Source organism: Homo sapiens, chromosome 8, assembly GCF_000001405.40.
Source record: "Homo sapiens chromosome 8, GRCh38.p14 Primary Assembly".
Lineage (NCBI taxonomy): Eukaryota > Metazoa > Chordata > Mammalia > Primates > Hominidae > Homo > Homo sapiens.
The window spans coordinates 47,428,292-47,452,930 of record NC_000008.11 but is presented as its reverse complement, the minus strand read 5'-3'; the positions used below and the strand labels follow the sequence as shown (position 1 = coordinate 47,452,930).

At 39.2% G+C, this 24,639-nt stretch overlaps 1 protein-coding gene across 55 annotated transcripts in view; it reads right to left on the bottom strand.

Moving 5' to 3' along the window:
• Window positions 1-24,639, bottom strand: part of SPIDR (scaffold protein involved in DNA repair) — a 475,429-nt gene that overhangs the window by 283,376 nt on the left and 167,414 nt on the right. For 54 of the 55 annotated variants that reach the window (NR_148202.1, NR_148205.1, NR_148204.1 and 51 more), the window contains one exon: window positions 12,389-12,608. The exons of the other annotated variant lie outside the window; for it this stretch is intronic. Coding sequence is in view for 48 of the 54 variants with exons in the window: in XM_017013268.3 (XP_016868757.1) it covers window positions 12,389-12,608 (220 nt within the window). In the remaining 6 variants the exon portion in view is untranslated. The remainder of the gene's footprint in view (window positions 1-12,388; window positions 12,609-24,639) is intronic. 55 annotated transcript variants of the gene reach the window in all.

The window sequence follows — 24,639 nt, the reverse complement described above, 5'->3', positions numbered from 1 at the left end:
AACAGGGACAATTTGACTTCCTCTTTTCCTAATTGAATACCCTTTATTTCTTTCTCCTGCCTGACTACCCTGGCCAGAACTTCCAACACTATGTTGAATAGGAGTGGTGAGAGAGGGCATCCCTGTCTTGTGCCAGTTTTCAAAGGGAATGCTTCCAGTTTCTGCCCATTCAGTATGATATTGGCTGTGGGTCTGTCATAAATAGCTCTTATTATTTTGAGATACGTCCCATCAATACCTAATTTATTGAGAGTTTTTAGCATGAAGGTTGTTGAATTTTGTCAAAGGCCTTTTCTGCATCTATTGAGATAATGATGTGGTTTTTGTCTTTGGTTCTGTTTATATGCTGGATTACGTTTATTGATTTGCATATGTTGAACCAGCCTTGCATCCCAGGGATGAAGCCCACTTGATCATGGTGGATAAGCTTTTTGATGTGCTGCTGGATTCGGTTTGCCAGTATTTGATTCAGGATTTCTGCATTGATGTTCATCAGGGATATTGGTCTAAAATTGTCTTTTTTTGTTGTGTCTCTGCCAGGCTTTGGTATCAGGATGATGCTGGCCTCATAAAATGAGTTAGGGAAGATTCTTTCAGGTCTTTAAATACATCATCCCAGTGCTTTCTGGCCCCCATAGTTTCTTTTTTTTGCTTGTTTCGTTTTCTCATTGATTGATCGATTTTGGACCTCACAGTTTCTGATAAGAAATAAGCTGTTAATATTATTGAGGATCCCTTATACGTAGCAAGTTGCCTCTCTCTTGCTGCTTTCAATACACCATCTTTGTCTTTGGGTTTCATCAACTTCACTACTATGTGCCTTGGTGTGGACCTCTTTGACTTTATTATGCTTGAAGTACATTGGCCTTCTTGGGTATGTACATTAAAGATTTTCATCAAATTTGAGGAGTTATGTTATTCTTCAAGAATTTCAAATTAGCCTTTCAAGTGGTAGCAATTACCATGCCACATTCCCTAGCTCCACAATCCTGGTTCAGATTGCTGGGACCAGGGCTGATTATGTGTTTTGATTGCTAATTGCTGCGCTTGATCACTGAGGGGCTGGCACAAAAGCTGGCAGACATTGTTCCTCAGCCATTATTCTTCAAATATTTTTTCTGGTGTTTCCTCCCTCTCTTCTCTTCTCCTTCTGGTACTCCTATAATACACAGGGTTCTACATTTGATAGTGTCCCACAGGTGCTTCGGGCTCTGTTCATTTTTTTCATTCTGCTTCTCAGACAGAAGGAGTTCAATTTTCTTTTCTTCAAGTTCAATGAGCCTGTGTTCTGCCTCCTCAAATCTTCTGTGGAATCTTTCTAGTGTGTGTGTGTGTGTGTGTGTGTGTGTTTTGGCAGGGTTTCACAATGTCGCCTAGGCTGGAGTGCAGTGGTGTGATCTCAACTCACTGCAACCTGCGCCTCCCAGGTTCAAACCATTCTTGTGCCTCAGCCTCCCAAGTAGCTGGACTGCAGGAGTGCACCACCATATCCAGGTAATTTTTGCATTTTTTATAGAGATGGGGTTTCTTCATGGTGCGCAGGCTGGTCTTGAACTCCTGGACTCAAGCAATCCACTCACCTCAGCCTCCCAAATTGCTGGGATTACAGGCGTTAAGTCACCACACCCAATCTCTAGTGTGTTTTTGAAATTTAAATTATTGTACTTTCAGCTCCAGAATTTCTCTTTGGTTTTTAAATAATTTCAGTATCTTTACTGATATTTTCATTTTGTTTTGATACCATTTTCCTGATTTCCCTTAGTTATTTATCTATGGGTTCCCTTTAACTCCTTGAACATATTTAAGACAACTGATTTCACATTTTTGACTAATAATTCCAATATCTCAATTTCCTCAAGGATGGCTATGTAAAATTATGTTTTTCCTGTATTGGGCCATATTTTCCTGTTTGTGTGTTTTGTAATTTTTTGTTGAGAATTGGACATTTGAGTAGTACTTTATAAAAACTCTGGGAATCTAATTATCCCACTCCTCAGGGATCGCAGAATCTTACCTGCTGAAGACTGGAATTGTCCATCTGTGATTTTTCCAAATTATACTTTAATATTTGCTGTAAGTGTTCAACTGGACTGTAGAATTCCACAACAGGCACTTCATGTGGTTCCTTCCAGGTTGGTAGTTATTTCGATAGAGGGATGGATTTCTGGAACTTCCTACTCTACACCATTTTCATGACATCACTCTTCTCAGTTGCTCTCTTTACTCAGTATCTTAGATTAGGAAGAGCATGGTAATTTGTTTGCTAATATTTTGTTCAAATGTTGCCATTTCTGCTTCCCTCTACTGGAAACAACAATATACATTTGCATATGAGAGACTCTGAGCAGTCCTACAATACAACAACTGGTACACATTTGAGGAGCCTTTTCCAAACTTATTTGAGCACAAAACACTTTAATCATATTTCTATGAACACCCTGCTATAGTCTGAATGTGTTTCCTGAAGTTCATGCATTGGAAACCTAATTTCCAATGCAGCAGTATTGGGAGGTGGGACCTAATAAATTATGAGGGTGCTACCTTCCTGAATGGATTTATGTCATTACCATAGGAGTGGGCTAGCTATCACAAGAATGGCCTTGTTATAAAAGCAAGTTTGGCTCCCTCTTGCTTTTGTGCTCTCTTGCCCTTTCACCTTCTGCCATGGGAAGATGAAAAACGAAGGCCCTCAACAAATAGTGGTGCTATGCTCTTGGACTTCCCAGCTTCTAGAACCATAAGACAAATGAATTTTTTTCTTTTTTTGAGACAGAGTCTTACTCTGTTACCCAGGCTGAAGTGCAGTAGTGGGATCATGGCTCAATGCAGCCTTGACCTCCTTGGGCTCAGGTGATTCTCCCACCTCAGCCTCCCAAGGAGCTGGGACTACATGCATGCACCATCGTGCCTGGCTAATTTTTGTATTTTTTGTAGAGATGGGGTTTGCCCAGGCTGCTCACGAACTCCTGGACTCAAGCAATCCACTGCCTGCCTCGGCCTCCCAAAGTGTTGGCATTATAGACATAATTCACTGCACTGGGCTGACAAATTTCTATTGCTTATAAATTATGCAGTCTCAGGTTTTCTGTTATAGCATCACAAAACAGACTAAGATACACCCCATTGAAAAGCGTCATCTAACTTCACTTCCTCCTCATGTAGAATAAATGACTGCCTTCCTTATCTTCCTTCCAGTTTTTCAGATTATCCAGATTATCCTCATAGTCTATATCTTTTCCCTTTTCATACTGCATTAATTTTCTTTCCTAGTTATTTCCTCTCAAGACACCCTGTAATTTTGACGGAAAAGACTAAATTCCTTGTTGTCCCAACAGAAGATAATCTCACCCAGTAAACAAAGTTTTCATCGTTAGTACTGCTTTGGTCTCTTCAATAGGAGCCAGCAATTTATTTATTTCAAAGAATCTCATGTGGCAAATATAAAACAGGAACCAAAGCAGTTGTGAATAGGCCCATGGGCTCCACCTCTGTCCTCTACCAATTACCACACATGGGTTATACTAAAAACCCAGACGAGCTGACAGAGTTTCTCTTTTGGAATCATAACCTCTCTTGTGTTTTTACTCTAGGCTCTAATTACTGCTGACACCAAAAAACTACCATTGACTGGGCCCCACAAATCAATCCCAAGTCTCCCATTTCAGTACATGGCATGATCATTCACTTGTTTGCTCAAGCCAAAGACTTAGTTGTCTTCCTTGTTTCCTATCTTTACTTAAATACCACATCAAACCCATCAGCAAACCCTGTTGCCTCTAACTCCAAAATATATTCCAAATCCACTATTCACCATCATAGTCCAAAGCACCACCTTTTTCCACACTTGAGCTACTCCCACAGCCTCCGAGATGCATTTATTCTGCCCTTCCACCCCCAGTCATCCTCCACAGACTTTAAAGGGTGAATCAGATCATAATGTCTCTCCTGTAAATCTCAGCTTGTTAACACTGCACACAGGGAGGTTCTCCAGATTCACTTTCTGCTGCTACTGCCTTGGAATTTCTACTTCGTACACAAAGCACTACATATACCCCTGCATACGTCTTACACTAGGCCATTCTGACTTTTTGGTCTTTACTCATGTGGTCTCCTCTACTCCAAATGCCCTCATAGTCCCTCCCCTGCTTCTTTCTAACATAGCCCTTTTAGCTCAGATAGGGCATCACCAACTTCAGGAAGCTACCCCTGACACCCTATCTCTCGGTCTGTAGTCTCCCCAAGCACACACACACACATAAACACAGGTACACACACATACTCTCACATACATAACCACCCACCCTACTGACCTACCTACTGGCTGTGCTTACCTCCTCAATCCTCTTGCAACCTCTGTACAGATATCTATTACTACGCCTACAGTGGTCTTTTATAACTTGTTTATATTACTTTTCTCTTCCACCACACTGTGAGCTCCTTAAGGGCAGAAACAATTTGACATTCATGTTGAATGTTGTATTCCCAGGAATTCTAGTACAAGGCTTATTAAAGAGTAAGTAAGTAAACATTCAGTAAATCTTTTTAAATGAATGTACAAATCAACAAAGTCTCATTCAATTAGGGAGGATAAACAAGGCTGACAACATCTTCATGATGATTTAATACAATATTAATCATATAGTTACTGAGTGCCTACTATGTTTCAAGCATTATTCTAGGCAACGGGAATACAGTAGTAAAAAAATTTTTGAATTGAATGTTTTAGCCAAAGCAATAAGACATTAAGCAGATAAAGAAGCATGAGTATTGGGAAGGAAATAACAAAATTATTATTCTAAGTGATATAACTATAAAAAGAAAAGCTGTCACCAGTAAATAAATACAAGAAAAAGTACAGTCATATCTTGGAGATACTGGAAGTATAGCTGCAGACCACTCCAATAAAGTTATTATCACAATAAAGCAAGTCACATGAATTTTTGTTTCCCATTGCATATAAAAGTTATGTTTACACTATATTATAGCCTATAAGGTGTGCAACAGCATTGTATCTAAAAAAAGTGCATACCTTAGTCAAAAACACTTTATTGGTAAAAAATGCAGCCTTCAGTAAGTCATAATCTTTTTGCTGAGAGAGGGTCTTGCCTTGATGGTGATTGCTACTGACTGATTGGGGTGGTGGTGTGTGAAGGCTGGAGTGGCTGTGGCAATTTCTTAGAGAACAATAAAGTTTGCTGCATCAACTGACTCTTCCTTTCTAGAAAGATTTCTCTGTAGCATGAGATACTGTTTGATGGCATTACTGGAACTTCTTTCAGAATTGCAGTAAATCCTCTCAAACCTGATGCTGCTTTATCAATCAAGTTTATGGAATACTCTAAATTCTTTGTTGTCCTCTCAACAATGTTCACAGCATCTTCACCAGGATTATATTCCATCTAAAGAAACCCGTTTCTGGCCAGGCGCGGTGGCTCACGCCTGTAGTCCCAGCACTTTGGGAGTCTGAGGCAGGCGGATTACCTGAGGTCAGGAGTTCGACACCAGCCTGGCCAACATGGTGAAACCCCATCTCTACTAAAAATACAAAAATTAGCCGTGTGTGGTGGCACACGCCTGTAATCCCAGCTACTAGGGAGGCTGAGGCAGAAGAAATGCTTGAGCCCGGGAGGCGGAGGTTGCAGTGAGCCGAGACTGTGCCACTGCGCTTCAGCCTGGCTGACAGAGCAAGACTCTGTCTCAAAAAAACAAAACAAAACAAAACAGAAAAACAGTTTCTTTGCTCATTCATAAGAACCAACTCCTCATCCATTAAAGTTAGGAGATTTTAGCAATTCAGTCCCATCTTCAGGCTTTACTTCTAATTTGAGTTCTCTTGCTTTTTCCACCGCATGTGCAGTTATTTCCTCCACTGAAGTTTTAAACCCCTGAAGTCACTGAAGAGGGTTGGAATCAACTCTTTCCATACTCCTGATAATGTTGATATTTTGACCTCCTCCCATGAATCATGAATGTTCTTAATGGGAGGTAGAATGGTGAGTCCTTTCAGGAAGGTTTTCAGTTTACTTTGCCCAGACCCTTGAAAGGTGGCTGGACATGGTAGTTCACACCTGTAATCCCAGCACTTTGGGAAGCCGAAGTGGGTGGATCACGAGGTCACGAGTTCCAGACCAGCCTGACCAATATGGTGAAACCCTGTCTCTACTAAAAATACAAAAATTAGCCAGGCGTGGTGGCGCACACCTGTAATCCCAGCTACTCAGGAGGCTGAGGCAGGAGAATCACTTGAACCTGGGAGGCGGAGGTTGCAGTAAGCTGAGATTGCACCACTGCACTCCAGCCTGGGCAACAGACTGAGACTCCATCTCATTTAAAAAAAAAAAAAAAAAAGGAATCATTATCTATGGCAGTTAAAAGCAAGACTTGAAAAGTCAAAATTACCCCTTGATCCACAGGTTACAGAATGGATGTTGTGTTAGCAGTCATGAAAACGACGTTCATCTCCTTGTACATCTAGAGCTCTTGGCTGACTAGGTGCATTGTCAATGAGGGGTAGTATTTTAAAAGAAAATTTTTTTTCTCAGTAGTAGGTCTCAAAAGTTTGGCTTAAAGTATTCACTAAGCCATTCTGTAAACAGATGTGCTGTTATCCAGGTTTTATTGTTCCATTTATAGAGCACAAGCGAGTAGATTTAGCATAATTCTTAAAGACCCTAGAATTTTCAAAATGGTAAATGAACACTGGATTCAATTTAAAGTCACCAGCTGTATTAGACCTTAATAAAAGAGTCAGCCTGTCCTTGGAAGCTTTGAAGCCAGGCATTGACTTTTCCTCGCCAGCTATGAAAGTCCTAGGTGATATCTTCTTCAAATATAAGGCTGTTTCACCTACACTGAAAATCTGTTGTTTAGTGTAGCCACCTTCATTAATGATCTTAGCTATATCTTCTGGATAATTTGCTGCAGTTTCTCTGTCAGCACTTGCTACTTCATCTTGTAATTTTATGTTATGGGGGAGTTTCTTAAATCTCATGAATCAACTTCTGCTAGCTTCAAATTTTTCTTCTGAAGCTTCCTCACCTCTCTCAGACTTCAAAGAATTGTAGAAGGTTAGGGTTTCGCTCTGGATTAGGCTTGGTTTAAGGGAATGTCATGGCTTGTTTGAGCTCCTATCCAGACAACTCAAACTTTCTCCATATTAGCAATAAGGCAGCTTTGCTTTCTCAATATTTGTGTGCTCACTGGAATAGCACTTTTTATTTCCTTCAAGAACTTTTCCTTTTCATTCATAACTTGTCTAACTGGCACAAGAAGCCTAACTGGCACAAGAGGCCTAGCTTTTAGCCTACCTTGCCTTTTGACATGCTTTCCTCACTAAGCTTAATCATTTCTAGCTTTTGGTTTAAAGTAAAAGATGTGCAATTCTTCCTTTCATGTGAACACTTAGAGGGCATATTAGGGCGATTAATTGGCCAGATTTCAATACTGTTGTGTCTCATGGAATAGGGAGGTCTGAGGAGAGAAAGTAAGATGGGGGAACATCCGGTCAATGGAGCAGTTAGAGCACACACAGTATTTATCAATTAAGTTTGCCATCCTATATGGCCACGGTTCATGGCATCTCGAAATAATTACAACAGTGATATCAAAGATCACTTATCACGGATCACCATAATAGATAATAATTATGAAAACTCTGAAATACTGGGATAATTATTCAAATGTGATATAGAGACAGGTGAGCACATGCTGTTAGAAAAATGGCACTGGTAGACTTGTTGGATTCAGGGTTGACAAACCTTCAATTTGTAAAAAGTGCAACATGTGTTTAGTGCTATACAAGCAAAAAAGCATAGTAAAATAAGGTGGGCTATATTCGATGTGACCAGCTGCAGAGACTCTACTATGAGGTTTACAGATGACTTAACAATATCAAGGAGTCAAAGCAGCAACAGCAAAAACGAAACACATACCCTTTACTATACTAAAACAGTTCCTAAAAGCGACTTTGAAACAATATCTGAAGTACATACCAAACTACATATATAACAATATCTACTACATAGCTGTTTATGATAGTAAAAGAACCAATATGTACCACATCCTGAGAATATGGAAAGTGTTTTAAAAACTATATCACACTGTGCAGCCATAAAAAATGTTGAGTGTGGTGTGATGAGAAACTGGCAGCAGCTGAGACAGCTTCAACCTTTACAGGTTACTATGGAAATCATATATCAAAAGGCTCAAAACCCACTGGTATTCTATGACCAATAATTTCTACTTCTAGAAATAGTCTAAGAACCAAATCAGAAGGGAGGTATAATGATAAATATTTCACCCAAGCAGTGTTTAAAACAGCTAAAAATAGAAAGCAACCTTAACAATTCTAAATAAGAGGATGTTTAAATTACCACATGTCCATATAGTGGAATACTAAGTAGTGACTAAAAAGATGACGATATGAATGGACCGATGGAAGGGTATACTCATGACAATAGGGAAAGTCAGACTTCGCTCTTCCAGCATACTGGGATGTGTATTCTGAGGAGAAGCAAAGTATCTGGCACAGGGGATACCAATAAATACTTCTGAATGAATGAGAGGTGTCCTGGTTGTCTCTGGATACACTCTCACACACTTAACCTCTCACCTGCCCTCATTCTGGAGTTAGATTTCATGGCAGGATGTAATCAGGCAGATGGTTTCTACCTTCCTCTCTCCCCAGTATCATTAAAGTAAATTCCTTCATTTGTTTTTTCTAGTATATCTGTGTTCAAGTGGTGAGATGTTTCTTTGGAATCATTATAAAGCTTTCAGTTTGCTTGAGTAGTAAAAGCTGTTTATTCATTAGTTAATAAATGTTGAAACTATGGGACATGAGATTCATTATACTATTTTATTTTTACATGTCTGAAATTATATAGATTAATGCATTTTTTTGTAAGTTGGTGACTTATATAATTCTATGACTATTTCATAATGCAATTAATTGGAGGCAAGACATTTTACTTCTATCTTTATTTTCAGATTGCCAGAGGCAAAGCTGCATTACACCTCACTGGAATCCAATGAGAGTTTACCAGGTAATATCTACAGAGGGCTCTGAGCTCCTCGGGGTAAGCAGCCATTGTACCTAAACTCATATTTATTACTACAGGACCAACAGGAGTATCTAAAGTCTATTGATTCTTTTAAAAAACTGTGCCCATGTTAAAAAAAAAAAACAGTTTAAATGAACACAGAAGGGTGCTAGTGGGAAAAGGACAGCCAGTCCACAAGGAAAAATATATTCACTATTATTTCTCAAGTTTCCATAAAAAAAAAAAAGACTAGTCCTTTAAAAAATTATTTTGGTTTTGTTTTGTTAAGTATGAGGTGTTTTTTTTTTTTTTTTTTTTGGCGACAGGGTCTTGCTCTGTCGCCCAGGCTGGAATGCAGTGGTGCAATCTCGGCTCCCTGCAACCCCCACCTCCTGGGCTCAAGCGATTCTTTCACCTTTGCCTCCCGAGTAGCTGGGACCACAGGCACGCACCACCCATACCCAGCTAATTTTTGTATTTTTAGTAGAGATGGGGTTTCGCCATGTTGGCCAGGCTGGTCTCGAACTCCTGACCTCAAATGACCCACCTGCCTTGGCCTCCTAAACTGCTGGGATTATAGGCGTGAACTAATGCGCCCGGCCTCTTCTATTTTCTTAAGCATTATATGCTGAATATAGGCAAATAATCTCTTGACAGCCCACAGGCATTCCTGTGGAGAGTAACACCCAGGGGTTGTTTGGTAAGATCCAGACCTACAAACATTCCAAAGTCTAATGATAATAACTCATTTACTTGTAAAGTCTAAGGAGTCAGTGGGATTTAGAAATTCTTGGTCATATAAATCTTTGTAGATAATCTTGATCTAATTTTACTTCTCATAAGCCCAAGAAAATGTCCTACATTTAAAGCCTCTAAAACATCTTCCCTGAAGAAAAATAATCATATTTAGATATTAAAAAAACAAGGTCATTTAATAAATGCATTTTAAAACATATAAAGGTGTGCCAAAAAAATGAGAAGTTGAGAAGGGAACAGGCCTGGTGGCTCAGGCCTATAATCCCAGAACTTTGGGAGGCCAATGTGGGAGGACTGCTTGAGGCCAGGCGTTTGAGACCAGCCTAGGCAACATAGCAAGACTCTGTCTCTACAAAAAATAGAAAAAGAAAAAAAGAATTTAAAAAGCTGAGGAGGGAGGAGTTTTTTAAAAAATAATAACAATAAAAGACTCTGCCACCACAAATGAACTTAGACACTAATGAAAGAGCTAAATTCCACAAGGGAGTAAAACTAAGGGGTGAACAAAGAAGATCCAAATGAGGACAGATTTCTGAAGGAGGGAAGACAGGTTCAAGGTAAGAGATGCTGACAGAAGTCCTGTGCTGCTGTGCACTCCATGAACACGGAGAGGGGAGCATCACATCAGAACCCTGCCAGACACTACCTTTAAAGCCCTACTCCGTGAATGCAGAGATTAACCTACCCTAAAAAACCTATCAATCTGTTTTTAATCTAGTAAGTTAAACCTAAACTTATTATAGAAAAATAGGCAGGATTACATAACTTACATATAGATTGTGTATAGTCACTGGGATGTGTTAAATACATAATTGAATATTTAAGAATTTAAAAATCCTGGAAGATTATACTCCAAATTATTAACAGCAGTCATCTAGAATGAGTGTGATTAATTGAAGAGGTGAGGGTAAGAGGATTCACTTTCTAAGTTATATATTTCTGAATTGTTTTAACTTTTACAATGCATACTTGAAAATAAATGTTTAAGGCAAATATTTAAAGTAAAAAAGAAAGGAAGCAATTATTAGGAGGAAAGTTCTAAAAATTAAGCTTAATGAGATGTGAGTAGTCCTAGCAGTTATTAAAACACCATATAAAACTATAGTAACTGAAATAGTATAATACTAGCATGTGCAAATACAGTTACATTAAAAGAGTAAATAGCCCAAAATATATGTAGGTATTTAGTACATGATAAAGGCAGCATTAAAATTGTATGAAGAAAAAACAGAATGTTCAATAAATAATGTTGGGACTCCTCGTGGCCATTTGGAAAAAAATAAAATTGCATTCACTACCTCACATATTACCCATAAAGATAAATTCCAGGAGTGTCAAAAGATTTAAATGTAAAAATTTTTAAATCGATGAAAGTCTTAGAATAAAACATAGAATAACTTTTACACCTCATAGTAAGGAAAACCTTTCTATCTATGATACAAAACCCAGAAGCTATAAAAGATGGCTAAAATCAACCACAGAAAAACAGAAAAGTTCTGCTCATCAAAAACAAAGCAACAAAACAAACCCCTGCCCCCTAAAAACGTAAAAAGTCAAATGGTAAATGGGGAACGAACTAACTGCAATGTATATGACTGACAAGGCACTACTTTTTTTTTTAATCATTTATAAAAAGATGGTAGAAATCACCAGGACCAAAGTGACCAAAGAGAAGAAAGGTCAAAAGCTATCAATGGACATAAAATGAAATTCAAGTGGTTCTTAAAAACATGTAGAAAAATGCCTAAGCCCATTTTATATAAGAGAAATATGAATTAAAATGATAAACATCATATTTCCAATTTTTAACTTGGTCTAGATCAACAAAGTAGGTTTGTAAAGGAGAAGAAAAAGGCACTTCAGGCATTGCCAGTGGGAACGTAAAATGGTGCCATTTGACAAAGTCTGCTAAAATTAAAGAAGCACTGATCCAGCAATAATATTTATAAAAATTTATCCTATAGCCCTTCCTCATACATACAAAATGAAAACTTATAAAAAATTACGAAAAAATTAATAATTAGCTCTTAAAACAAGGCTGCTCAAACTTTTCCTCAAAAGTAGTATGATTTTCTTCTATTCATGGTAAAAATCAATATCCCACTGCAAAAGACAGCACACATAGTATCCTTTAAAATAATTTCTGATCCAATAATGACCATTTTTGCTCCTGCAATTCAAACACTAGTATATCTTAATTCATGCTTTTTATCCTCCCAAGTGACTAAGAAATATTTAATTAATGTGTGTTATCCTACTGTCACATAATGCCTGTTAACAAAATTATTTTTCTAAGAAATATAAAAACAAAAACAGCCAGATCTTATAACACATCACTTGGGCAAGAGTCTTAATATGGTTGTTTCCTCAACCCTCTCACCCCAAATTATCAGAAATATGCTGACAGAACTAGAAATGAGCTATCAGAGACAATCCAGTGCTTCTCTGACAGAAAACCCACGTCCAATCCTGGCTCTCTTCCTCTCGCATTGCTCTATGATAAAGTGACAAAAATGTAACTGATAAAAATGTCTTTTCTTACGAGGCTGACTCACAGTTGGTGACTGCTGGATTAAGTTCTGCGCACTCACCAGGGAGGGAAGATCCGGACAGTGTCCTGGGGACGGCCCCTGAGGTAGCCTGCAGTCTCCTTGGTGAAGAGAACTTTCAGGCCAGCTCCAGGCCTGGGAGCCACACTTTGGGAGGAGCTGGTGGCTGGTGACCCCAATAACTGCTCACACATGGCAACTTGCATGGCACATTCCTCATGCAGCTCTAAAATTTTCACAGTTAATACACCAGATTTTCTACCTAGAAGTTGAAGAAAAGAACAAAGCAAAAATGAAATCAAAAGACAGATGGTTCAAGCGTGAATAAAGTGTCATGAAAAAAAGATCCACATGCAGATAGCACTCTTCACCTGGAGAAAATGGTCTCCACATTTTGCAAAGTAAAACAGAGACACTACGATGCTCACTATAACACTTTTCTTTAATCAAAATAGGCCTGCATGTTGCATTTAATACATGGATTTTAAGCAGCATAAAATAAAGTCTTCTGTCATGAAGAAATAGTCCTGTACAAATAGAAACCTTAGACCCGTCATTTTAAGGAGCATGCGTTTTACTCCAAGTCTGAAATCCTTTGATGACCACAAGGAGAATATGGCCACTGTGGATTCTTCTTAAGGATGGACCCTCCTCTTTATTATCTGTTTTGATTCTCTGCTTTGAAATCATGTATGTTACTAGCTGGCTGCAGCTGTTCCAATGATCAGAAAGGCTAACAGTTGAAGAGTTATGTGGACTGCTGGGTATTAGAGCTCTAGATTGAAATGGGTGGAATTTGATCTGGATTCAAGTGCTGGTTTCCTTATTAAGTTGGCCAAGTTCCATGGCATTCAACTGTTAAATTGTCTTATGTGTAAAATGGAGATCCTGCCACCTGCCCCAGGAAACATTTGTTCAGATTAAATGAGATAACTGAAGTTGATAGTGTGCATAGCCTATACCCCAGAAATCTTAGGTAGGTACCCAGAAACTGTCAGATGCACCAATATACCTAAACAAGGATACACATCTCAGCGTTGTTTATAAGAGTAGAAAACTGCACCCAGCATAAATCAGAAAGATGGGTAAACCATGGTGTGTTCATACAACAGAACACTGTACGGCACTTAAAATGAGGTGAAGTAGACGTCTAAGAATCAGATGGAGAGGTCTCAAGAAATGAAAGGGGATAAACAGGATATACAGAGTATGACACCTATAATGTAATTTTAAAAAACACAGAAATCAATACAATAGTTTATGAATACAAGATGAGTATAAAAACATAAATAGAAGGATTCACAGAAAAGTCATGAAAGCCACTGTCTCTAAGGAGAGAGAAAGAGGAGTATGACTCAGGAGGGGAACCCAGAGGGTTTCAAATTTATGTGTCATATTGTTTCTATTATAAAACTATGGGAAACTAAAAAAAGACAAAGGATTGACATGTGTTACTAATTCTAGGCAGTGAGCATGCTTATGTGTTTCTATTATTCTCTGTGCTTTTTAATTAAAAAAAATAAAAAAATACATAAACTGAGAACAACAAAAATGAAGGGTACAACATACTGCCTTGTTAATAACAGATACTCACTAATATGAGTTTCTTTACCACTTCAGCCAACTAGGTTAATAGTGAATAGTAAAAATTAATATTTAGACGGTGCTAAGATTTTAATCATCTATTTCTTTCTCCCTCTCACTTTTTTTTCATTCATTTCCCATTCAACCCCAAATTTTTCATCCCTTCCTTTATGTAGGTGTCCATGACACATGTCCATATACTGGGCCCTGGGCCACCTTGCCTCCCCTAAGCACTGTCTTGGACAACTATTTCTTAAGGCAACTATTTCTGGGCACTGTCTTGGACAACTATTTCTTAAGGCAAGAAAACAGAATGGGGGAAGGATATGAATAAGCACAATGTACAAGCAGCATATAACGAGCTTCTGCTGGTCACTCTAGGGAAGGGAACAGAGGAATGAAACCAACTTGTAAAGAAAGGCACTAAGAAGTGAACACACAGATGCTTCGCCACAACAGGCATTTTGTTAATGAAAAGTAGCTCATCTTCAATTGGTAAACTGGAAAAGAAATCAGGATAATGTGGAAGTCACTTCAGTCCACAAAGCTTTTTTTCCTCAGCAGGGCAGCCAGAGCAGTGTGTACAGAATTAGAGTCTTCAGAAGCAAAGGGAAAAGCCCTAGATTGAGGAGCTACAGCGGCCACAGGAGCATTTTGAGACATAATTTAAGAATTTTTAAAACTTGTACCTATACTCAACTCAGGGCTCATTCCCAGCAATGCACAGGCCTGAAACCTCCCCTGTCTCCCACTGACAGCAGCAGCTGTCAGGGCTCCATGGCCACTTCTGCTCTCAAGCACCCAGGGGTCTGCTCAAGTTCAAGTGTGCCAGCTGAGCACAGGCTCTTGGTTCTGCGCACTGTGGCAGCCCCCAGCCATGCTCAGCTGCCTGCCCAAGCAGCACAAGCTCTCTTCAGAAACTAATTCTTGTCTTGGGCAGCTCAAGTCCCCATAGACCCTGACAGATTTTATAAATGCAGGCTATTACAGAAATACATAAATAGTATTACAGAAGAAATACTTATGTACCTAAGATGCATCATACTGCCTGACTACAGTTTCTTCAAAGATTACTTTATAGCAGCATGATTTAGAGTTCTTTGGGTATACATCCAGTAATGGGATGGCTGGGTCAAATGGTATTTCTAGTTCTAGATCCCTGAGGAATCACCACACTGACTTCCACAATGGTTGAACTAGTTTACAGTCCCACCAACAGTGTAAAAGTGTTCCTATTTCTCCACATCCTCTCCAGCACCTGTTGTTTCCTGACTTTTTAATGACTGCCATTCTAACTGGTGTGAGATGGTATCTCATTGTGGTTTTGATTTGCATTTCTCTGATGGCCAGTGATGATGAGCATTTTTTCATGTGTTTTTTGGCTGCATAAATGTCTTCTTTTGAGAAGTGTCTGTTCATGTCCTTTGCCCACTTTTTGATGGGGTTGTTTTTTATTGCGGCATTATTCACAATAGCAAAGACTTGGAACCAACCCAAATGTCCAACAATGATAGACTGGATTAAGAAAATGTGGCACATATACACCATGGAATACTATGCAGCCATAAAAAATGATGAGTTCATGTCCTTTGTAGGGACATGGATGAAATTGGAAAGCATCATTCTCAGTAAACTATCGCAAGAACAAAAAACCAAACACCACATATTCTCACTCACAGGTGGGAATTGAACGATGAGATCACATGGACACAGGAAGGGGAATATCACACTCTGGGGACTGTGGTGGGGTGGGGGGAGGGGGAGGGATAGCATTGGGAAATATACCTAATGCTAGATGACGAGTTAGCGGGTGCAGCGCACCAGCATGGCACATGTATACATATGTAACTAACCTGCACAATGTGCACATGTACCCTAAAACTTAAAGTATAAAAAAAAAAGATTTCTATGATAAATCTTGACAGTATTCCAGTAACTATGAATTTTGATCAAGATCTATAGCACCAAATAACTTGTAAAATAACATTTTATGATGTTGGCTATCACTGCAGTGCTGCACACAGCAGCTCATGTGGTGACTAAATAGGCCTTGGAAGCAATACTGAGCGGCGCTCCCATGGCTGTGACACTAGGTCAGGGACAGGGCTACCCTTTACACTGAGCATTCTAAAGCTCTTTCTACAAAACATCCTCCAGGGCCTTCCTTCCCAGGAGAAAAAAAAGCAGGGTAAGCTCCTCCTTGTCTGAGAGAGAAAAAAGCAAGGGACGACTTATACCAAAAATGTGCTTGAGGCAAGCTTTTATTTTATTTTTAGAGACAGGGTCTTGCTCTGTCGCCCAGGCGGGAGTACAATGGTATGACCTTGGCTTACTGCAGCCTCGATAACCTGGGCTCAAGGGATCCTCCCACCTCAGCCTCTCAAGTAGCTGGGATGACAGGCTCGCACCACCATAACATCCAGCTAATTTTCTTATTTTTTTGTAGAGACAGGGTCTCACTTTATTGCCCAGGCTGGTCTTGAAGTCCTGGGCTCAAGTGATCTTCCTGCCTCAGCCTCTCAAAGTGCTGGGATTACAGGTGTGAGCCACCATGCCTGGCAGAAGCAAGCTTTTAATCCAAGCAGGGGATATACTCATTTTACAAACAAAGGACAATGTTTTGCAATTAGATGACTAGTACATAAAAGGCCATTTTAGTGCTACCAGGCAACATTTTCCATAACTGCTACAAGACAGCCAAAATATCACCTTGTCCAGGAAGTGTTTTCTGAATCCCAGCCAGAAGCAACTATTCCTTCCCTTGAAAATCCCCAAATACTTTAACTCTCTTGTAAGAGTGTCCTCCGTTTTAAATGGACACAGTAGCGGCTACCCCAAGAGCACTACAATCACAGGTGCAAACACAGCAAATGTACCACGAAGTGCCTGGCCATGCAAGGATGGCAGCCACTGTCACTGCCATCAGCTCTTCAAGGCATTTTCAAGGCCATTCTCATACTCGATTCACAACAACCCTACGAAATAGGTAAGGAACATATTAATCTCCCTTTGTGGCAGATGAGAAAACTGAAAAATAAAGCTAGCTGCTCATGTGACTTTCTCAAGAACAGAGAGGATGACTGGCAGGTCTAATCCCAGTAATCAAATATCCTTACAAGCCAAGGACCAAAATGTCTCTCAGATAAATGCCAGTTAAGAATAGGAAATTGTGAGTGATGGGGTGTTTCCCCCCTACTTCATTATGCTAAGACATAGGGCTTGTTTAAAACGCACAGACAGACAATGTTTCAGGTTGAGAAACGGACTCTGAGGCCTATTGCTGTGGCTGGACACAGTGAGGGTTTCAACAGAACTTGCACTGAAAAAGAAGATAACTTGTCAAGTGCTAATCATCAAAGAGAAAGTGCCACAAAGATCAAATGGAGACCACAAATACTAATATACAATAGCAAAGATGTTAAACGATTAAGAAACAGGAACAGAAAGATTCAATGAAGAAGATACACCAAGAGATCTAGTAATTTCTATCCATGCATATGCCTAGCAGATGAAACATAATTCTTAGTTAAAAATGGACAGTATTCAACTTCAAGAATAACAACATTTGCTGAATAACTGCATGAATTCGTTATTTAATCAGCTAACTGCTCTTTGAAAAGTCTTTTGTTTTAAACAACCAAGAGGCCACACACACACACACACACACACACACAGATCTGAGCAAATGACTGAGCATGGTGGCTCACACCTGTAACCCCGGCACTTTGGGAAGCCAGGGCGGGAGGACAGCTTGAGGCCAGGAGCTCGAGGCCAGGAGTTCAAGACCAGCCTGAGCAGCACAGTGAGACCCCCCAGCTTTACAAAAATAAAAATATAAAAATGAGTCAGGCACAGTGGAGTATACTGTAGTTTCAGCTACTTGAGAGGCTGAGGCAGGAGGTTATCTTGAGCCCAGGAATTTGAGGTTATAGTCAGCTATGATCACAACACTGCACTAACTGGCCTCCCTAGTCAAGTACCTGACTCACAGAGTGAGACCCTGTCTCTCAAAAAAAAGAAAAAAAATGAAAAAAAGAAACACAAAACAATAAATTGAGCAAATGATAGAATAACAAAATATGTCTGTGACTACTGAGTTAAATGCCTTTTTTGTTGTTGTTGAAATATACAGGTAGTCAGGGTCCAATTATACTCACGTCAACTCAAGTCTTCCTAAGTAGGTTATATTGAATTAATATATGAGTATAACAAATAACTATACAAGAAAGGACAAAGTGAAGCAAGTTAGTATGAGGGGAGAGATACTGAAACTATTCTCCGTGAAGCAAGTTAGTATGAGGGGAGAGATACTGAAATTATTCTCCGTGAAGCAAGTTAGTATGAGGGGAGAGATACTGAAATTATTCTCCAATAGAGGGCAGGAACATCTGTAAGTCTTTCTAACAGAAATACTTTTCATAACATAATTGTTGCCACTAATGTTAAGTTGTCCATTTTCCAAACACTGACCCCATGGTAATTTGGAATTTTCCTCCTACATTATCGCTCTGTCTCTCTTTATCTTCAGAGATATCCCAAAAGGCTAGCCTGCCCAGTTATCTTGCTCTAAAACATATGTTCTAGTATTCCCTGAAATTGGTACTTTTGTCTTCTTCAGGTCAATTCATCAAGTGTCCACCGTTCCTTTTCCCTCTCTCTCTCACCCAGCATGCATGTGAGTGTGCAGACACACACACATACACACACAGAGAATCATGAGCAAGCAGCAGGGGTCAGGAATGGACATCAGGGGGTTTTAAAGTCCATCTGCTTCCCATGTGGACAGGACCTCTGTCTTTAATAAACACTCTAACACTGGTTACCACCAGCTGTGATGATAATAATTCATCTTGCTGCACTCACTCCAAACTACCATGCTATATATTCAGTGTACATTTTACTATTTTTGAAATAGTATTTTATAGCTTTCCCCCAAAAATAATACATGTATCCATTACTACAATGGTTTTATTTGGGGTGTTTCTGTTAGTTACTTGTGAAGTTTAGTATCTTTAACGAACTCTATGCCCTATTTTACTGACTTCTCATAGCATTTTGGGGCTCCTAGCATTGTAAAATGAAGAAGGTGTATACCCTGCTCTACGTTTTTCCTCCCCAACATGCTACACAATTTTAATTAAACATAATTCCACTTTCATTGTCAAGGTTAATGTTCACAGTATACCCTATAACCTATGCCAAATCTCCATGCTCCAGCCATAGTCTGACTCCAAGAGTTAACAAATAATCAACAAATTTACATTAGCACAATTATATAAACAAAATTCAATATCTGACCAGGGTCTTAGGATTGCATTTAAATGAGAATATCTCAGACTTAGGTCAAATGATTTGACTGTAATAATTCTTACGATCATTTAGGCCTTCCAAATGCCAAAAGAAAAAGGACTATCATTCTGGCGGCCCCAGCATACCCATTAGTAGTCTTAGCTTTCCCCAAAAGTTCACTACAGCTTTTTAGAGAACAGCCCATTCATGTTCTGCCTAGACTAAATGTGGTCGGCTGGAGCCTGGGCAGGGAAAAAGAAGATCGAATCAGTTCAGAATGATGAAGCAGGGAAGAAACAGGTCTTCTATCTTCAGATGTGTGAACCAGGGTGTTTCCTCTGGGTGTGATGGGAAGCCAGCAGGGAAGTCAAATGATGAGCCGTGTTGAGAACAGACTGAAGAGGACAAGGGATTAAGTAGGGAAGCTAGTTAGGAGGGTCTGCAGCAATCCAGGATGGATGATGGTGTCTGGGATCTAGGGAGTGACAGGAGAGGTAAGAAATGCTCAGATTCTAGATATTCTTTGAAGGTAGAGCCAATAGAACTTGTTAATGGACTAGGAGTGAATATGAGACAGAGTACAAGAATGACTCCAGTGGGTTTGGCCTGAGCAAGAATAAGAACAGAATTAACATTTACTGAGACAGTAAAGATTTCTAGACAAATATTTCTTTTCTGGGAGGTGCAGGTAGTATGAGAATACTGGTATCAAGACATAAATTTTTAATACATTAAGACTGAGATGCCTCTTAGTTACTACAATAGTCTGGCACTAACTGACCTCCCCAGTCTAGTACCTGATTCTTCCAACCTACTCTTCATAAGGCCCACCTGAATGGTATTCTTAAATGTAGATGTAATGATAGCCACCCTGACTGGATTAAATCCAAACTACTTCCCATTGTATGGAAAGTCCTTTGTTACCTGTTACTTCTTACTGCTCTAGCCTCAAATCCCGTAGCTTCCTTCAAGCAATTTAAAATTATTTCTATGACAAGGTGAAAAATAAGCAATTGTGCATTAAGACAGTTCCATCACTGTCTCCCTGGTGAGTTTCTCCCTGGGCATGACTCTCCTTTCCACTCTGCAGTTTATCATTTCTCTTTATGTTATCACTGTACTTCTTGTTTATACCTCTGATTTAAAAAAGTAAACAATTTCATCTATTAAACCATGAACTCTGTGTTGCACCTGGATCAGTACCAATAAATATGTAAGAAATGAATGACTCCTAATACAAACTGATGTAAAGCATGTGGGGGACTCTGTTTCCAGTCTTGATTTCACTGCTAACCATGATGCTCCTGACCCATCTCCCCTTCATCTCAACTGCACTTTGCGTGTACCCAGAGAATACAAATTAAACTATGACTCAAATGATGCTCCAAAGAGAAAAACAAATAAAACATTCCAAAATCAAATCCAAATGACGTTTTATCTATTCACTGTATTGTACCATTTTTTCATTAACATGCACTAAAAACTTAATTGTATTTACTTGTTTATATTGTTTTTTCTTTTGAGAAGTTACAACTACACCTAATTTTACCAGTGATTCTCAAACACATAGCACTGATATGCTCCCATAAGTATTCAGTAAGTAAATACCTGTTAAAGTATTGATTGTGTTATTAATGATTGGTAAATCAAAATTTTAATTCTGAGTAAATCTTATAAGATGCCATCGATTCATTTCACAGATAACTTCAGGATAAAATTCATAAAGCTGTAAGCAGGAGATCCTGATTATAATATCTAAAAAAACAAATTCTGGAGAAATTCACACATTTATCCTATGAAGAGCACAATTCATTTTTGTTTAAAATTTATGCTCCCCCATAAAATTTTAAGTCATCTGGCAATGATGAATAGACACATTTCTTTACCACAACTGCTTACTAAACTGTAAACAATTGTGCTTTCACTTCTTGATTCCACATTTTTTGCCTTTTCACCAGTTTAAAATATTCTTCTCCAAAAGCCACAATTATTCTAAGCATGAAACAGAAATCTGAAACCCAACTCTTAAAAAAAACCCAAAAACAAAAAAGTAGACAAGACTGACCAGGCGATCAAAAAGTTTTCACAATCCCCAGTGACGAGAGCAGTCAAAGCCTAGCTGAGCACCTCCGCCTCCAGGGTCACAGTGTCACAGTGACCCCACCTCCCACTAGGCATGTCGCTGTGACTCATTCCGTAGGAATAGCTTGTTCGGAAGGTGAGTGGGCAATGAAATGTCCAATTTTAAAAGAAATTCCACGTGAGAATAAAGCATACAAAGGCTCTAGAAAAGCAACAGATCCCTAAGCGAAGTTAAGCCAAACAACAGGGGTGTGTTACAGATTGAATGTTGGTGTCCCCTCAAAATTCCTATGTTGAAGTCCTAACCTTCAGTCTGGTTGTATTTGGAGATGGGGGCTCCAAGGAAGTAATTGAGGTTAAATGAGGTCATAAGGGTAGCCTGATCTGACAGGCTTAGTCTCCTTGTAAGAGACTGGAGGACTTGTTCTTTCCATGCACACACACGGGAAAGGCTCTGTGAGCACACAGCAAGAAGGCGACTGCCTAAAACCAGTAAAAGGGCTCTCACCAGGACTCCACCATGCTGCACCCTGGCTACCAGCCTCCAGCACTGTGAGAAAGAACTGTCTGCTCTTTACGTCACAGTCTGTGGGATTTTGTGATGGCAGCCTGAGCTGAGATGGGACAATGCGATACATACAGGACCGCCCAACACACACACTGACACTGATGACCAGCCATGCCTTCCACTCTGAGTATCGAGAATACGAGTTCTTCTTTCTTGAAAACTTCTTCATTTAAAACACCTTATTTCATACAACTATAGATGATAATTTTGGCTCAGAAAATAGGATTAAAATGGTGTCCAGTAATCACACTGAAAACAACTTTTAAAAGGTCATATGGCTAATGACAAAGTACAGAATTAGATATTTAAGTATTTCTATTTTTATAAATGTGGCATCAACTGAGAAACAAATGTGTTGGGAAAAACTGCAAGAATCCAATGTTAAAATAGCAAGTTACTAATTATGGGTGGTCACTATAATCTTCCTAAACCCACCTTTAAACCATCCTGTGGAATGCCAGGAGCACGTGGGCATCCGGCCTCTCTACCATGAGGCCAACACACTGAATCTCTGTAGCACAGAGAGTTGAAAATATGCTTACTAATGAACTGACAGAGTCCAGCGCGTCCCCACTGTCACTTTATCCTTGATTCTTAAACTCCAACATCAATCCGGCCCCTGCCATAATGACTATCGATAAAGGACATTCTAATGAACAACTTCTAATTCATCCTAAGTTGGGTGGAAACAGGCAAAACCTATGATGAGCCAGAATAAGGCATGTCCAAATGGAGCATGGCAAATTCATAACCCCTAGATACAAGGAGGTGTTTGTGTCTTGCTGCCATCTTCCCATGGCATTTCAACAAATGGGTAGGGAAGAGAAGAAAAAGGAGAAGAGAAATTAGCTTAAGGATTAAAATAGGTAATGTAGTAACAAAAACACAGAGCGACCATTACCGTGAAGTGCCTCTCCTGAAAGGTGTGCAGAAGACCAGGGAGCACCAGTGCTGGGAAGGCTCACCAGTGTCAGACACAAAAGACACAAAAGTTAAAAGACACAAAGTAAAAAGCACTCTGAGAGAGACTTTCACATGGGAATAACAGACAAGGCAGGGGAAAACAGCAATACCAAATTTAAAAAGTGGAAATAGGAGGGATAGCTTTAGGAGATATACCTAATGCTAAATGACGAGTTAATGGGTGCAGCACACCAGCATGGCACATGTATACATATGTAACTAACCTGCACATTGTGCACATGTATCCTAAAACTTAAAGTATAATAATAATAAAATAAAATAAAAAAAATATATATAAGCTGCAGAAAAGTACAGACCAGAAAAAAAAAAAAAGTGGAAATAACCCAAGGTTTAACAAAGTCACCCTTTGTCAGTAAAAAAACTGCAGCGCAGATGAAGTAACCCACATAGGTCTTCAGCCCTGGCCAAGTTTGGACCAGAACCAACACTGCCTGATGAGGGCTATTCCTGCACTCTGTGATGCCATGTTGTAACATTTTTAAATTACTGGGCATGGCTCAGGGATGCCCTATACATCTTTGTAGCTCTTTGTGCAGTTCTTATTTGCTTATATTTTGGGGAATTAACTGTATTAACTACAGGATACTGGAAGTATAGTTACAAACAAACCATTAAGAGATAAAAGTGCATGTCTTAGGCCTGGTGCCCAGCTTATCCCATGAAAGCCACGGCTTTGACCCATGGAGATATTGCGTGCTGTGCACACGGAGGTGGGGGGCCACAGAAAGGGGGCAGTGAGAAATGAGTCCAAGGCAGCTGGGCTGAGTGTGTGACAAAGAATGTCACACAAAAGAGTTTACAGGTATGGTATGGTATTAAGTACCCCTTCCTCTATTTCTAGGTCCCACCATTATTTTTAATAAAATTATCAAATAACTTGGCATTATTAAATTCTAGTAAGAACTCTTTACTGTTCCGTTAATACAAACTTAAAATGGTCACTGGAAATTATGATATTTTCTGACATGGAATCCTACCTCTAACAGTGAACAAACTAGTATCACAGTTTGTTTCCTGACTTGAATAGTTCAGCCTCAGTATTCACGCAAAATCTTCTGGCTCACGACTACAAAGAACAATACTAAATATCATTGCTGCACTGAAACGTGGGTAAGGATATAACAGAGGGAAAAATAAAGTCTGAACACTAGTTGGCTTTGTGGTTTTATTGGTCAGAGGGAAGCTGGAGATAATCCAGAGTCAGCTCCCCTGACCCCAGAGGAAAGGGGATATAAGAAAAGGAACAGAAGCAAAACCTCTCTGGCCAAATCAGAGCTGACCCACGCTGAGTGGGCACTGGCAGTATCCCTTCAACTGAAACACAGGGAGGGAGAAGACAACATAGCAAAGAAGTTTAAGGACAAATTTTAAATGACTTTTTAAAAGATGCTGACCTACAAAATTAACAACCCTTCTTTAATCCGTGTTATTCGCATTTCTTAAATCTAAAAAAACAAATTGTTTTTAATAATGTTTCATGTTACATAAAAAAATCCCCAGAGAAACTAAAGATTTTAAAGGCAAAAAATATTGCCAAGAATTGGCTAAATAAGCAGCTCACCATACACCTACCTTTTCTGGGTTTAAATACATAATACTAGGAGACTTAGATTAGATCATATGTATTTTCTAACACTTATTTTTTAATTAAATAAAGGGATCTTATTTTACCAACTGACTTGCTTTGGTAGGAATGACCAGTCTACCATTTTCTACCCCAAGTTAGGCTTTAATTATTGGAAAATACCGCATCAAAGAAATTAGTGAAATCTTGTAGACACCCACG